General features: G+C 45.8%; 1 protein-coding gene across 1 annotated transcript in view; it reads right to left on the bottom strand.

Annotated features, from left to right (window-relative positions):
• The window catches only part of NLRP5 (NLR family pyrin domain containing 5), a 75,036-nt gene that overhangs the window by 10,555 nt on the left and 48,272 nt on the right, over nt 1-16,209 (bottom strand). Inside the window, exons 10-12 of the mRNA NM_001433705.1 lie at nt 13,061-13,231; nt 10,164-10,334; nt 668-838 (exon numbers count right to left, since the gene is read on the bottom strand). Coding sequence (NP_001420634.1) covers nt 668-838; nt 10,164-10,334; nt 13,061-13,231 — 513 coding nt within the window. The remainder of the gene's footprint in view (nt 1-667; nt 839-10,163; nt 10,335-13,060; nt 13,232-16,209) is intronic.

Raw genomic sequence — 16,209 nt, 5'->3', positions numbered from 1 at the left:
ATGCCACTGCACTCTAGCCTGGGCAACAGAGCAAGACTCAAAATAAATAAACAAACAAACAAAAAGAAAAAAAGAGAACGCATTAAGTTGCATTAAGTGCTGACTACTATGATCCTTTCTTTGTAAAACATCAAATGCACGCTTGCATCTAGAACAAGAGAACCCCAGAAGACATCCAAACCACTAACAGGGATGACTGCATGGTTGTGAGACTGAAGATCGATTTTTGCTCACTGAGCTCTTTTACTTTTTCTACAGTCTGTTTAATAATGGGATATTCCTATTCAATAGAAACATTTCAACAAAGGGTGAAGAAATTTGAGCCCCAGAGGGAAAGAGATTAAGAGACAAGCACTCTCCCTTCTCCATACAGATAAATAGCTGAAGATGAACTTAGGGCAAGATGCCTTCCTCTGAGGAATGCACAGTGTTTAGGTATCAAGGGCTTCTCAGAACTCATGGTTCCTCCCATGAGGCTCCATCGGCCCTTCCCATGCTCACCGTGGTGTCAACACCTCAGTTTACCTAGATTGCCCTTGGAAAAATGAGTGTCAGCTCACCCTGAAAGCAGTTTTTGGTTCCGGTCTCCCTGCTCCTATCTCTTGACCTTTCAGGAACTCCAGACCCCAGTATGATAGAGTTGACCCAACGCCCATGGGAAACTCACTCCAGGTCCTGGAGATGACAAGATGGTTCTCTCATGACCTCGCACAGAAGCTTCACGCCATTGTCTTCCACAGGGTTCATGCTAAGGCTCAGGTGCGTCAGCCATGAGTTACCCATAAGCGCAAGTGCAAGAAAACCACAGCCAGCCGTGTCCAGGTGGCACTGATTCAGCCTGTGGGGCACACACATGGGAAAGAAGATCGTGATGCTCATTCCCCAGCATGGCCTCAAGTGAGCTGCTGCTCTCCTCCCAGCTGCAGTCTGCTTCTGTGTAGGGTGGGGTCATATTTGTTTTTTTTTCTTTTTTTTTTTTGAGGAGTCTTGCTCTGTCACCCAGGCTGGAGTGCAGTGGCAAGCTCTCAGTTCACTGCAGCCTCTGCCTCCTGGACACAAGAGATTCTGCTGCCTCAGCCTTCTGAGTAGCTGGGATTACAGGCATGCACCACCACGCCTGGCTAATTTTTGTATTTTTAGTAGAGATGGGGTTTTACGATGTTGACCAGGATGGTCTCGAACTCCTGACCTCAGGTGATCTGCCCACCTTGGCCTCCCAAAGTGTTGGGATTACAGGTGTCAGCCACCACACCTGGCCAGGTTTAAGACCTTCCCTCTGACAGAACCTACCCAAATGAGAAGGAGGCAGAAAACCAACTCTGGTAATATGACAAAACAAGGCTCTTTAACATCCCCCCAAAATCACACTAGTTCACCAGCAATGGATTCAAACCAAGAAGACATCCTCGAATTTCCTGAAAAAATACAGGAGCTTAGTTATTAAGCTAATCAGAGAGGGATTAGAGAAATGTGAAGCCCAATGCAAGGAAATCCAAAATATGATACAAGCAAAGGGAGAAATATTCAAGGAAATAGCTTAAAAACAATAAAAAAAAATCAGGAAACTTTAGACACATTTTTAGAAATGTGAAATGGTCTGGAAAGTCTCAGCAATAGAATTGAACAAGTAGAAGAAAGAAATTCAGGCTGGGCACGGTGGCTCACACCTGTAATCCCAGCAGCACTTTGGGAGGCCAAGGCGGGAGGATCACCAGGTCAAGAGTTCGAGACCATCCTGGCCAACATGGTGAAACCTTATCTCTACTAAAAATACAGGCTGGGCACGGTGGCTCATGCCTATAATCTCAGCACTTTGGGTGGCTGAGGTGGGTGGATCACCCGAGGTTGGAAGTTCGATACCAGCCTGACCAACATGGAGAAACCCCATCTCTACTAAAAATACAAAAAATTAGTTGGGCGTGGTGGTGCATGCCTGTAATCCCAGCTGCTCGGGAGGCTGAGGCAGTAGAATCGCTTGAACCCAGGAGGCAAAGGTTGCAGTGAGCTGAGATTGCACCATTGCACTCCAGCATGGGCAACAAGAGTAAAACTCCGTCTCTAAATAAATAAATAAATAAATAAATAAATATAAAAAATAAAAAATAAGTTAGCTGGGTGTGGCGGCACACACCTGTAGTCCCAGCTACTTGGGAGGCTGAGGCAGGAGAATTGCTTGAGTCCAGGAGGCGGAGGTTGCAGTGAGCCGAGATTGCACCACTGCACTCCAGCCTGGGTGACAGAGCAAGACTCTGTCTCAAAAAAAAAAAAAAAAAAAATTAAAAAAAAAAATCAGAGCTTGAAGTCAAGGTCTTTGAATTAACCCAATCCACCAAAGACAGAAAAAAGAATATTTGAACAAAGCCTCCAGAAGTCTGGGATTATGTTAAATGCAAACCTAAGAATAATTGGTATTCCTGAGAAAAAAGAATTCTAAAGGCCTGGAAAACATATTTGGGTGCATAATTGAGGAAAACTTCCCTGGCCTTTCTAGAGAACTAGACATCCAAATACAAGAAGCACAAAGAACACCCAGGAAATTAATCACAAAAAGATCTTCACCTAGGCACATTGTCATCAGCTTATCTAAAATTAAGATGAAGGAAAGAATCTTAAGAACTGTGAGACAGAAGCACCAGGTAACCTATGAAGGAAAACCTATCAGATTAACAGATTTCTCAACAGAAACCCTGCAAGCCAGAAGGGATTTGGGGCCCTTGTTTGTTCCTTGAACAAAACAAGTATCAGCCAAGAATTTTGTATCCAGCAAAACTAAGCATTTTATATGAAGGAAAGATACAGTCTTTTTCAGACAGACAAATGCTGAGAAATTTTGCCATTACCAAGACTCCACTAAAAGGAGCTCTAAATCTTGAAACAAATCCTGGAAACACATCAAAACAGAACCTCTTTAAAGCATAAATCACACAGGACTTACAAAACAAAAATATAAGTTAAAAAGCAAAAACAAAAAACAAAACCCAAGGTACACAGGCAACAAAGAGAACGATGAATGCAATGGTACCTCACATCTCCATCCTAACACTGAATGTAAACGGTCCAAACGCTCCACTTAAAAGATACAGAATGCAGAATAAAAAACTCACCAACCAACCATCTGCTGCCTTCAGGAGACTCACCTAGCACATAAAGACTCACATAAAGTAAAGGGGTACAAAAAGGCATTTCATGCAAATGGACACCAAAAGCGAGCAGGGGTAACTATTCTTAGATCAGATGAAACAAACGTTAAAGCAACAGCAGTTAAGGAGACAAAAAGGGACATTATATAATTATATAATCCTTGTCCAACAGGAAAATATCAAAATTCTAAACATACATGTGCCTAACACTGGAGGTCCTAAATTCATAAAACAATTGCTAATAGACCTAAAAAATGAGATAGATAGCAACACAGTAATACTGGGGGACTTCAATACTCCACTAACAGCACTGGACAGGTCATGAAGACAGAAAGTCAAAGAAACAATGGATTTAAACTATACTTTGGAACAAATGGACATAGCAGATCTATACAGAACATTTCATCCAACAACTGCAGAATACACATTCTAATCAACAGTGCATGGAACCTTCTCCAAGATAGACCATAACAGGCCATAGAATGAGCTTCAATAAATTTAAGAAAATTGAAATTTTATCAAGCACTCTCTCAGACCACAGTGGAATAAAACTGGAAATCAACTCCAAAAGGAACCTTCAAAACCATGCAAACACGTGGAAATTAAATAACCTGCTCCTGAATGAGCACTGGGTCAAAAATGAATACAGAAATTAAAAAATTCTTCAGACTGAACAACAATGACACAATCTATCAAAACCTCTGGGATACAGCAAAGGCAGTGCTAACAGGTTCATAGCCCTCAACGCCTACATCAAAAAGGCTGAAAGAGCATCAACTGATACTATAAGGTCACACCCTCAAGGAAGTAGAGAAACAAGAGCAAACCAACCCCAAACCCAGCAGAAGAAAGGAAATAACCAAGATCAGAGCAGAATTAAGTGAAACTGAAACAAAAAAATACAAAAGATAAATGAAACAAAAAGCTGGTTCTTTGAAAATATAAAATTGATAGACTATTGGCAAGATTAACCAAGAAGAGAAGAGAAAATCCAAATAACCTCACTGAGAAATGGAACAGGAGATACTACAACTGACATCACTGAAAACAAAAGATCATTCAAGGCTATAAGGAACACCTTTATGCACATAAACTAGAAAACCTAGAAGACATGGATAAATTCCTAGAAAGATCCAACCCTCCTAGCTTAAATCAGGAAGAATTAGATATCCTGAACAGACCAGTAACAAGCAGTGAGATTGAAATGGTAATTTAAAAATTACCAACAAGTCCAGGACCAGACGGATTCACAGAATTCTACCAGACGTTCAAAGAAGAAGTGGTGGCTGGGCGCGATGGCTCACGCCTGTGATCCCAGCACTTTGGGAGGCCGAGGCGGGCAGATCACGAGGTCAGGAGATCGAGACCACGGTGAAACCCCGTCTCTACTAAAAATACAAAAAAAAAATTAGCCGGCCGCAGTGGCGGGCGCCTGTAGTCCCAGCTACTAGGGAGGCTGAGGCAGGAGAATGGTGTGAACCCGGGAGGCAGAGCTTGCAGTGAGCCGAGATCGCGCCACTGCACTCCAGCCTGGGCGACAGAGTGAGACTCCGTGTCAGAAAAAAAAAACAAGAAGTGGTACCAATCCTTTCGACACTATTCCACAAGATAGAGAAAGAAGGAACCCTCCCTAATTCATTCTATGAAGCCAGCATCACCCTAATACCAACACCAGGGAAGGACGTAACAGAAACACACACACACACACACACACACGAAACTACAAAGCAATATCCTTGATGAACATAGATGCTAAAATCCTTAACAAAATGCTAGCTAACCAAATCCAACAACATGTCAGATAATCCACCATGATCAAGTGGGTTTCATACCAGGGATGGTTTAACATGTACAAGTCAATAAATGTGATACACCACATAAACTGAATTAAAAATAAAAATCACGTGATTTCAATAGATGCAGGAAAAGCATTCGACAAAATCCAGCAATGCTTTATGATTAAAACTCTCAGCAAAGTTGGCATACAAGGGACATACCTTCATGTAATAAAAGCTATCTATGACAAACCCACAGCCAACATAATACTGAATGGGGAAAAGTTGAAAGCATTCCCTTTGAGAACTGGAATAAGACTGAGGTCTTCTGAGCAGGATGCACCATGGTCAAGCCATGGTGACCTCTGTGACCCACATGTACACATCCAGAAGGCCTCTTGGAGCCAGAAAGTCTAGGATAACAGGAAAACCACAGAAGAAAAACAGCTAGCTCCTGTCTTAGCTGATTAGCCAACCTGCAACATTCTATCATTGTAACATGCTCTACCCTAACTGATCAATCAACCTTGTGGCATTGTGCCCTGTGACCCCTCCCACCTTGTGACAGTGTACCATGTGACATTCTTCCCCTGCCCGCAATAAACGGTCCCAGACTGTTACTTTCCACTGCTTATCCCTAACCGATAAAACTAGCTCCAGACTATCCCAAGGACAAAAAACCAAACACCACATGTTCTCAACTCATAGGTGGGAATTGAACAATGAGAACACATGGACACAGGAAGGGGAACATCACACACTGGGGCCTGTTGTGGGGTCGGAGGAGGGATAGCATTACGAGATATATCTAATGTTAAATGATGAGTTAATGGGTGCATACCAACATGCCACATGTATACATATGTAACTAACCTGCATGTTGTGCACATGTACCCTAAAACTTAAAGTATAATAAAAAAAAGAAAAAAAAACTAGCTCCAATCCCATCACCCTTCGCTGACTCTCTTTTCAGACTCAGCCCGCTCACACCCAAGTGAATACACAGCCTTGTTGCTCACACTTAGCCTGTTCAGGTTGTCTCTTCACTTAGATGCATGCATAACAAAGACAAGGATGCCCACTCTCACTACTCCTCTTCAACACAGTACTGGAAGTCCTAGCCAGAGTAATCAGACGAGAGAAAGATAAAAAGGGCATCCAAGTCAGGAAAGTCAAACTGTCACTGTTTGCTGACAATATGAATGTTTACCTTGAAAGCTCTAAGGACTCCTCCAGAAAGCTCCTAGAACTGATAAAATAATTCAAGTGTCCAGATACAAGATTAATGTACACAAATCAATAGTTCTATACACCAACAGCAACCAAGCGGAGAATCAAATCAAGAACTCAACCCCTTTTACAACAGCTGCAAAACACAACACAACACAACACAACTTGGGAATATACCTAACCAAGGAGGTAAAAGACCTCTACAAGGAAAACTACAAAACATTGCTGAAAGAAATCACAGACGACACGAACAAATGGACACACATCCCATGCTCATGGATGGGTAGAATCAATATTGTGAAAATGACTATGCTGCCAAAGCAATCTACAAAATTCAACGCAATCCCCATCAAAATACCACCATCATTCTTCACAGAATTAAACAATTCTAAAATTCAAATGGAACCAAAAAAAGAGCCAGCATGGCCAAAGCAAAACTCAGCAAAAAGAACAAATCTGGAGGCATCACACTACCTGATTTCAAACTATAAGGCATAGTCACCAAAACAGTGTGGTACTCGTGCAAAAATAGGCACATAGACCAACGAAACAGAATAGAGAACCCAGAAATAAACCCAAATACTTACAGCCAACGGATCTTCAACAAAGCAAACAAAAACCTAAAGTGGAGAAAGGACACCCTTTTCGACAAACGGTGCTGAGATAATTGGCTAGCCACATGTCGGAGAATGAAACCGGATCCTCATCTCTCACCTAACACAAAAATCAGCTCAAGATGTATTAGAGACTTAAACCTGGCCGGGTGTGGCGGCTCACGCCTGTAATCCCAGCACTTTGGGAGGCTGAGGTGGGCATATCAGGAGTTCGAGACCAGCCTGGCTAACACAGTGAAACCCCGTCTCTACTAAAAATACAAAAATTAGCTGGGCATGGTGGCGGGTGCCTGTAATCTCAGCTACTGGGGAGGCTGAGGCAGGAGAATCACTTGAACCTGGGAGGTGGAGGTTGCAGTGAGCTCAGATCGTGCCACTGCACTCCAGCCTGGGTGACAGAGCAAGACTCTGTCTCCAAAAAAAAAAAAAGACCTAAGACTTAAAACTATAAAAATTCTAAAAATTCTAGAAGATAACATGGGAAAAACCCTTCGAGACATTGGCTTAGGCAAGGATTTCATGACCAAGAACCCAAAAGTGAATGCAATAAAAATAAAGATAAATAGCTGGGACCTAATTGAACCAAAGAGCTTTTGCACAGCAAAAGAATAGTCAGCAGAGGCCAGGCGTGGTGGCTCACGCCTGTAATCCCAGCACTTTGGGAGGCTGAGGAGGGCAAATCACAAGGTCAGGAGATCGAGACCATCCTGGCTAACGTGGTGAAACCCTGTCTCTACTAAAAACACACACAAAAAAATTAGCCGGGTGTGGTGGTGGGCGCCTGTAGTCCCAGCTACCAGCTACTCGAGAGGCTGAGGCAGGAGAATGGCATGAACCCAGGAGGCAGAGCTTGCAGTGACCGGAGATCACGCCACTGCACTGCAGCCTGGGCGACAGAGCGAGACTCCATCTCAAAAAAAAAAAAAAAAAAAAAAAAAAAAAAAAAAAAAAAAAGAATAGCAGAGTAAACAGACAATCCATAGAGTAGGAGAAAATCTTCACAATCTAGAGTCGAGTCTACAACGAACTCAAACAAATCCAAGAAAAAACAATCCCATCAAAAAGTGGGCTAAGGACATGAATAGACAATTCTCAAGATATACAAATGGCCAACAAACGTATGAAAAAGGCTCAACATCACTAATAATCAGGGAAATGCAATCAAAACCACAATGTGATACCACATCGCCCTTGCAAGAATGGCCATAATCAAAACATAAAAAAACAGTAGATGCTGGGGTGGATGTGGTGATCAGGGAACGCATCCACTCTGCTGGTGGGAAAGTAAACTAGTACAGCCGCTATGGAAAGCAGTGTGGAGATTCCTTAAAGAACTAAAAGTACAACTACCATTTGACCCAGCAATCCCACTACTGGGCATCCACCCAGAGAAAAAGTAGTCAATATTCGAAAAAGATACTTGTACCCATATATTTATAGCAGGACAACTGACAATTGCAAAATCGTGGAACCAACCCAAATACCCATCAATCAATGAGTGGATAAAGAAACACACACACACACACATACATATATGATGGAATACTATGCAGCCATAAAAAGGAATGAATTAACAGCATTTGCAGTGACCTGGATGAGTTGGAGACTATTATTCTAAGTGAAGTAACTCAGGAATGGAAAACCAAACATCGTATATTTTCACTGATATGTGGGAGCTAAGCTATGAGGACACAAAGGCATAAGAATGATACAATGGACTTTGGGGATTTTGGGGGAAGAATGGGAGGGAGGCGAGGGATAAAAGACTTCAAACATGGTGCAGTGTACACTGCTTGAGTGATGGGTGCACCAAAATATCACAAATCACCACTAAAGAACTTACTCATGTAACCTGGCTGGGCATGGTGGCTCATGCCTGTAATCCCAGCACTCTGGGAGGCAGGCAGATCACCTGTGGTCAGGAGTTCAAGACAAGCCTAGACAACATGGTGAAACCCTGCCTCTACTAAAAATACAAAAAGTAGCCAGGTGTGGTGGTGCACAGCTGTAATCTCATCTACTTGGGAGGCTGAAGCAGGAGAATCGCTTGAACCTGGGAGGGGAGGTGGAGGTTGCAGTGAGCTGAGATTGCGCCATGCCACTCCAACCTGGGTGACAGAGCCAAACTGTCTCAAAACACAACAAGAAAAGAACTTACTCATGTAACCACCTGTACCCCAATAACTTTTGGAAAAATAATGAGAACTGCATCTGTATTGTGTCTGTATCACTAGCAACTAATAAATGCAGTAGTAATCAACACAATTGATCCTCATTATTTATGGATTCTGTATTTGTGAATTTTCCTACTTGCTATAATGTGTTGGTAATTCTCCAAATCAATACCGGGAGTGCTCAGTCCTTCCTGGTCATGCATGTGTGCAGAGCAGAGAAGAACTTGAGTCTCCAGACACACGTTGCTCCCAGTGGAGGCTGAACTGATTTCAGCTCTCCACTGTCAACAATGTCCTTTTTGAGGGTATTTAGTGCCGTGTTTGTTGGATTTTTGTGCTTTTTGTGGGCAATTTTGTTTGTTTTGTGATGCAGTCTCACTCTGTTGCCCAGGCTGGCGTGCAATGGCACAATCTCAGCTCATGCCAGCTCACTGCCACCTCCACCTCGCAGGTTCAAGTGGTTGTCCTGCCTCAGCCTCCTGAGTCGCTGGGATTACAGGTATGCGCCACCACACCCGGCTAATTTTTTGTATTTTTAGTAGAGATGGGATTTCACCATGTTGGCCAGGCTGGTCTTGAACTCCTGAGCTCAAATGATCCACCTGCCTCAGCCTCCCAAAGTGCTGGGGTTACAGGTGTGAGCCACCGCGCCCCGCTGCAATAGTGTTGTTTAAAATGACCTCCTAGCATAGCGCCAAAGTGCTCTCCAATGCTGGGGAGCGTGGGGAGGCTGTGAGGTCCATCACTTGTGTCAGATAGGCTTTGTCAGGCACGAGTCACGGTGCCGTTGGTCATGTGCTCAATGTTAACGAATCAACGATGTGTATCAAGTAAAAGTCATTGAACAGAAACATGAAATACATTTTCATCGATTGATGAAAACGTGACTAGAGGTTCACAGGAAGCTAACCCTGTACCTCTCCCAGGGGCAATGGCTCCATGCTGGCTGGTTCAGTGCTCAAGAGTGACTTTGTAGAACATGATGACCTCCAATTATGAGAACTGACTGTCCTTGAACAAATGACTTCCCACTGTAAGATAACACAAAGGCAGACACAGAATTTTCCAAGAAAGGATGAAACCTAGGAGACATGGACAGAATTCAGCATATACCAGGTCCCTTCATGTGATGATGTCCACACCCCCTCCCCACTGCCTTCTGCTTTGAGAGCTACACCATGCTATGTTAGAAAGCTAGGAAGTCCTTGCAGGGGAGCAAGCCAGACTCACATCAGCCTCTGCAGACTACAGTGGGGAAGCCTCATGGATCGACACAGTAGATTTACACCTTCGTTCCCCAGGCTGTTGTTGGATAGGCACAGGTGTGTCAAGCTCCGGTTGCTGACGAGGGCTGAGGCCAGACTCTGGCAACCCGTGGCTGTGATGCCACAGTCCTCCAGTCTGCAAGAAGAGAGCCCCAGAGAGGACATGATGAGATGCCTTCTTAAAGTTCCATCTTTCCCTCCTTTACAAGGAGGGGAAAGACGTATCACCCCCATAGTTGGCATGTCCTTGCAGACATATGGTGAAGTCGCATCCTCTCTGCCTTTAACTTGCAAACTCAACTCCAGTGCATCAGCCCCAAAAGAATACTCTAAGTATTGTGGGTGATTAGATCTGCCAGTCACAATGGGGAATGGCTGGGCAACAATCACTGCTCAGCCATTTCCAGTCCCCACATGGCTATGATGTAAGGCTTTGCCGGAATGAGTAATTTTTCCAATTTATTTATTTTCTTATTTATTTTTATTTATTTGAGATGGAGTCTCGCTCTGTTGCCCAGGCTGGAGTGCAGTGGCATGATCTCAGCTCACTGCAACCTCTGCTCTCAGGTTCAAATGATTCTCCGGCCTCAGCCTCCTGAGTAGCTGGGATCATAGGCATGCACCACCATGTTTGACTAATTTTTGTATTTATGGTAGAGACAGGGCTTCACCATATTGGTCAGGCTGGTCTCGAAGCTGGCCTCCAACTCCTGACCTCAGGGGATCTGCCTGCCTCAGCCTCCCAAAGTGTTGGGATTACAGGCGTGAGCCACTGTACTGGGCCAATTTTTCCAATTTAAAAGTACACTTAGGGCGGGCACCGTGGTTTGTGTTTGTAATCCCAGCACTTTGAGAGGCTGAGGCAGGAGGACTGTTTGAGCCCAGGAGTTCGAGACCAGCCTGGGCAACATAGCAAGACTCTGTCTCTAAAAAGAAAAAATTAGCCGGGCATGGTGGTACATGCATGTAGTCCCAGCTACTTGGGAAGCTGAGGCAGGAGGATCCCTGGAGCCTGGGAGGTAGAGGCTGCAGTGAGCTGTGATTGTGCCACTGTACTCCAGAACAGTGAGCAAGACCACCCCCCAAAACTACATCTAACACATCATGACCCTTAGGCATAAACTAGATACTCTGTCTGCTTTTGAGATGGAGTTTTGCGCTTGTTGCCCAGGCTGGAGTGCAATGGCGTGACCTTGGCTCACCACAACCTACGCCTCCCGGGTTTAAGTGAGTCTCCTGCCTCAGCCTCCCGAGTAGCTGGGATTGCAGGCGCCTGCCACCATGCACAGCTAATTTTTTTGTATTTTTAGTAGAGATGGGGTTTCACCACGTTGGCCAGGCTGGTCTTGAACTGCCGACCTCAGGTGATCCGCCCGCCTCGGCCTCCCAAAGTGCTGGGTTACAGGCGTGAGCCACCACACCTGGCCATTTAAGCAGCTTTTTATGTAGCACTGAAGTGATTCCAGAAACAGTCTGCTACATGAGTGATAGGTGTTTTCCCGTAAAGAGAACTTGGAGTGAACGCCCCTTCCCCTTGAGAATATGACACCCAAGATCGAGAGCTCAGGGTGTGATCGAGAGCTCAGATGTCACCCTCTGAGCCTGGATGTCTCACTGCTGATACCAGCACTGCCATCCAGGTAAGATTAAAGGTCACCTAGAGCTGTGCTGTCCAGAATGGGAGCTGCTAGCCCCACATGGCTACTGAGCTCTTGACATGGGTCTAGTGTGATGAGGAAACTGACTTTCCCATTTAATTTAGATTTGGCTGGCCACACGTGGATAATGGCTGCCACGCTGGGTGGCTCAGCTGAATTAGCCCCACCCTTGACTCCCGGCATCACCATCTGAGCACCGTCCAACTGTGGACAAGTGACACAGCCTTTCTGAAGCTGTCTCATCTGTCGATAGGGTTATCAACAGCACCTGCTCCGTAGACCTGTTTTGAGAACTCAGCGAGGAAGGGTTGGAGGGATTTTAGCGCTGTGCTTGGCACAGCTCAGTAAGCATTGAATAGTGGTTGCTGTAACTGTTGCTGCTGCTTCGCCTCCCCTCCCTAGATCAGTTATCAGTAAGCAAGTGGGCCAGGCATGGTGGCTCACACCTGTAGTCCCAGAACTTCAGGAGGCCAAGACGGGAGGATCACTTGGGCCCAAGAGTTGAGGCTGTAGTGAGCTAGGATCTTACCACTGCACTCAGCCTGGGCAACAACAAAACTCTGACACGGAAAAGGAAAGAAGTGATATCCCTTTAGGTGTTAGGGGTGCAGAACTGCTGCCCCCTGCGTTTCCACTCGGAGGCCCTTCTGCTACAACAACACAGGCCTGGGTTCATCCCTGCTCTGGGCTCCCTCGTCTCCATAGAAGGAGGTGGGATTGGGATTTTGGGTGACCCTCCTCCTTTTTGAGCCTCTCTGTGCCCAGAAGCCCAGAATGCATGAGCTCTGGCCTGGACTTTACCAGGCAGAGGGGAGCCTGACCGCCACCCATGTTCTTTGAGTGACTGAGTGGGTATACCTCTCCAGTGGTGGGGCCAAGCATTCACTAACCCACAGTGCAAGCTGCACACATAAGCCTCACGCCCAGGAGAGCTTTATCAGGAGGGAAGGTCATTATGCAATTTCCACCTGGCTGATTCCCGCGTCCACCTTTTATCTCCATTTAGAGTTTGGGAGCAAGAACAGATGTTTTTCAGGTCACTCTTACACCCCACACTGGGCAGGTCTTGGGAGGTCCCAACTTCCTTCCTCACCCCTGGTTTGTACATCTGCTCATTTCCCTCCCACCATGACCTGGAGAATCGAAGTTACGATAATCCTGGTGGAAGTTACGATAATCCTGGTGGAAAGGAAGTGGCACTCACATCAGCTTCTGCAGGGCGCACTGGGAGACTCTCAAGGCATCACTGAGAGGCATTACTCCCTGGTCTGTCACCTTGTTTCCTGCCAGGCTCAGAGATTTCAGGCTGGGGGAGGTCGTAAGGATTTGGGAGATCTTCAGGTAACAGGCATGGGTCAATCCACAGCAATCCAGCCTGCAGAGACAGGCAGCATGAAGCAATCCCAGCTCTTGTCCAAAGCAGCCCATTTCCCCTCTACTCAGCACACGCCAGCAGCGCTGGCCGTTTTCCTGGTCCTCGAACTCTGTCTGCTCCTGCCTCCGGGCCTGAGAAGTTGCTGTTCCTTCCAGTGCAACCTCCCCTCCTCCCTCCCTCAGGTTTTCATGGGGTTCACGTCCTTTCATGTCTCTTGAAGGTCGCCTTTCGGGTAAGCCAGACCTTAAATGGTGCCTACCCCACTTCCCTCCATTGTCTCAACATTCATAGCAACCCACCCCAGCCAACATTTTTTTTTTTTTTTTTTTTTGAGACAGGGTCTTGCTCTTGTCACCCAGGCTGGAGTGCAGTGGCGCAATCTTGGCTCACTGCAATCTCCATCTCCCGGATTGAAGCGAGTCTCCTGCCTCAGCCTCCTGAGTAGCTGGGATTACAGGTGCCCACCACCATACCTGGCTAATTTTTGTATTTTTAGTACACACGGGGTTTCATCATGTTGGCCAGGCTGGTCTCAAACTCCTGACCTTGTGCTCCACCCGCCTTGGCCTCCCAAAGCACTGGATTACAGGCATGAGCCACTGTGCCCGGCCTCCACCCAACGTTCCACATACTTATGTTAGTGCTTGTTTCCTGCCTGTCTTCCTTCCTAGAATGTCATCTCCATGAAGGTGGAGGCCTGGTTGCTTTGTTCTCTATGGTCCCCTCGGCAGCTGCGACGGTGCCTGGTACACAAAGGGCACTCGAGCATTTGCTGAAGGGCACGAGCTTCCGGGATGACCGGCAGTATTTACGAAAGAGGAACGTACACAGCTACCCCACGAGCCAGCACATCCACCCCCAAATCTAACACATCACTTAATTCCCTGTTAACCGAATAGCTTAGCATCTCTGCAACTCAGTTTATGCCCTGGAAATGAGGACAACAGCACTACCAACCTCAGCGATGGTTGTGAGGATTAGAATATTAGAATAGCCACGAAACACTTAGGCCAGTACCTGGCTAGGGCAGAGATGAAGGAAGCAGGTTTATTTTATTATTATTATTTTTTGAGACAGTCTCACTCTGTCACCCAGGCTAGAGTGCAGTGGCGCAATCTCGGCTCACTGTAACCTCTGCCTCCTGGGTTCAAGTGATGCTCCTGCCTCAGTCTCCCAAGTAGCTGGGATTACAGGTGCATGCCATCATGCCCGACTAATTTTTGTATTTATAGTAGAGACGGGGTTTCACCATGTTGGCCAGGCTGGTCTTGATCTCCTGACCTCAGGTGAGCCACCTGCCTCAGCCTCCCAGAGTTCTGGGATGACAGGCATGAGCCACTGTGCCTGGTCTGTGTTGAATTTTAGACAGAACTTTTAGAGCTCTCCAAGCCTATACATGCTCCTGCCGTGTGTGTGCACACATCATTCTTTTTGTCTTGTTCTGCTCTCCCTGTGCTGGCCTGTGAGCACCATGAGAGCAGGAATCTCGTTTTGTTCATCAGCACATCTCTGGAACATGTCGTAGTACTACACGCAGAATCAAGCGTCTGTCGTTATTGAATAAAACAATCTCGTTTCATTTATCAGCATGTCCCAGGAACATGTCATACTACTACACACAGAATCAAGCATCTGTCGTTATTGAATGAAAGAATCTCAGCCAGGCGCAGTGGCTCAAGCCTGTAATCCCAGCACTTTGGGAGGCCGAGGCGGGCAGATCACGAGGTCAGGAGATCGAGACCATCCTGGCTAACCTGGTGAAACCCTGTCTCTACTTAAAAAAATACAAAAAAATTAGCCGGGCGTGGTGGCGGGCGCCTGTAGTCCTAGCTACTTAGGAGGCTGAGGCAGGAGAATGGCGTGAACCCAGGAGGTGGGGCTTGCAATGAGCCGAGATTGCACCACTGCACTCCAGCCTGGGCAACAGAGCAAGACTCTGTCTCCAAAAAAAAAAAAAAAAAAAAAAGAATCTCAATTCATTCATCAGCATGTCCCAGGAACATGTCGTAGTACTACATGCAAAATCAAGCATCTGTCGTTATTGAATCAAAGAATCTCGTTTCATTCATCAGCACATCCCTGGAACATGTACTATACGCAGAATCAAGCATCTGTCGTTATTGAATAAAGGAAGTTCCAACTCCTCAATGTGATAGTGAATGGAAACCCTTCACGATGTGGCCCAATCCATCTTCCAATGTCAAAGTCTCCCATTTAGAGACTTAGCTGATCATCCCATCCCTCTATCCAATAAGTACTTTGGGGAATACGGGCCAGGTGTCAGGAAAAGAGCAGTTCTAGGTTCCGGGAATACAGGAGTGAAGAGAAGAGAGCAATACTCCTGCCCCTGTGAGTTATGAGAAGGTAAATTCATTAGTTGAGTTATGAGAAGGTAAATTCGTTAGACTTCCAGGAAACTGGACCTAAGTGACTTCATGCTTTTTCCTTCCTTGGCCCCAAATAGCCTCCATCCATCTTTTCCGACAATGTCTATCTTATTTATTCTTTGAATCTAAGCTCCAGCTCTCTGCACTTGTGGTGCAGACAGTGAGCAAAAGAGTGAGCATGCAGCTTCCTCCATCTGTTCCCAGATAAACCCCACACGATGTCAGGCACAGCATTTCCGTCCTGAGACAACATTTATGCTTTGGCTAATTTCCCTGGGTTACATCTTCTTAAAGTGCAGTTCCCTGGCTGCCAGGCAAACACCACATGGTACAAAGCAAATTCTTCTTCTTTCTTACTATTCTTCGATGTTAGTTGATGTGCCAGCTAACAAAGCTCAAAGCAGGGCTTGTACTTGTCTGTCTCAGAATACTTTATTTGGGAGGGCACAGCCAGTGGATCACTTGAGGTCAGGAGTTCGAGGACAGCCTGGCCAACATGGTGAAACCCCCATCTCTACTAAAAATACAAGAATTAGCCAGGCATGGTGGCGGGTGCCTGTAATCCCAGCTACTTGGGAGGCTGAGGCAGGA

Source organism: Homo sapiens, chromosome 19 (genome assembly GCF_000001405.40).
Source record: "Homo sapiens chromosome 19, GRCh38.p14 Primary Assembly".
Taxonomy (NCBI): Eukaryota; Metazoa; Chordata; class Mammalia; order Primates; family Hominidae; genus Homo; species Homo sapiens.
This window is presented reverse-complemented; position numbering and strand designations above follow the sequence as displayed.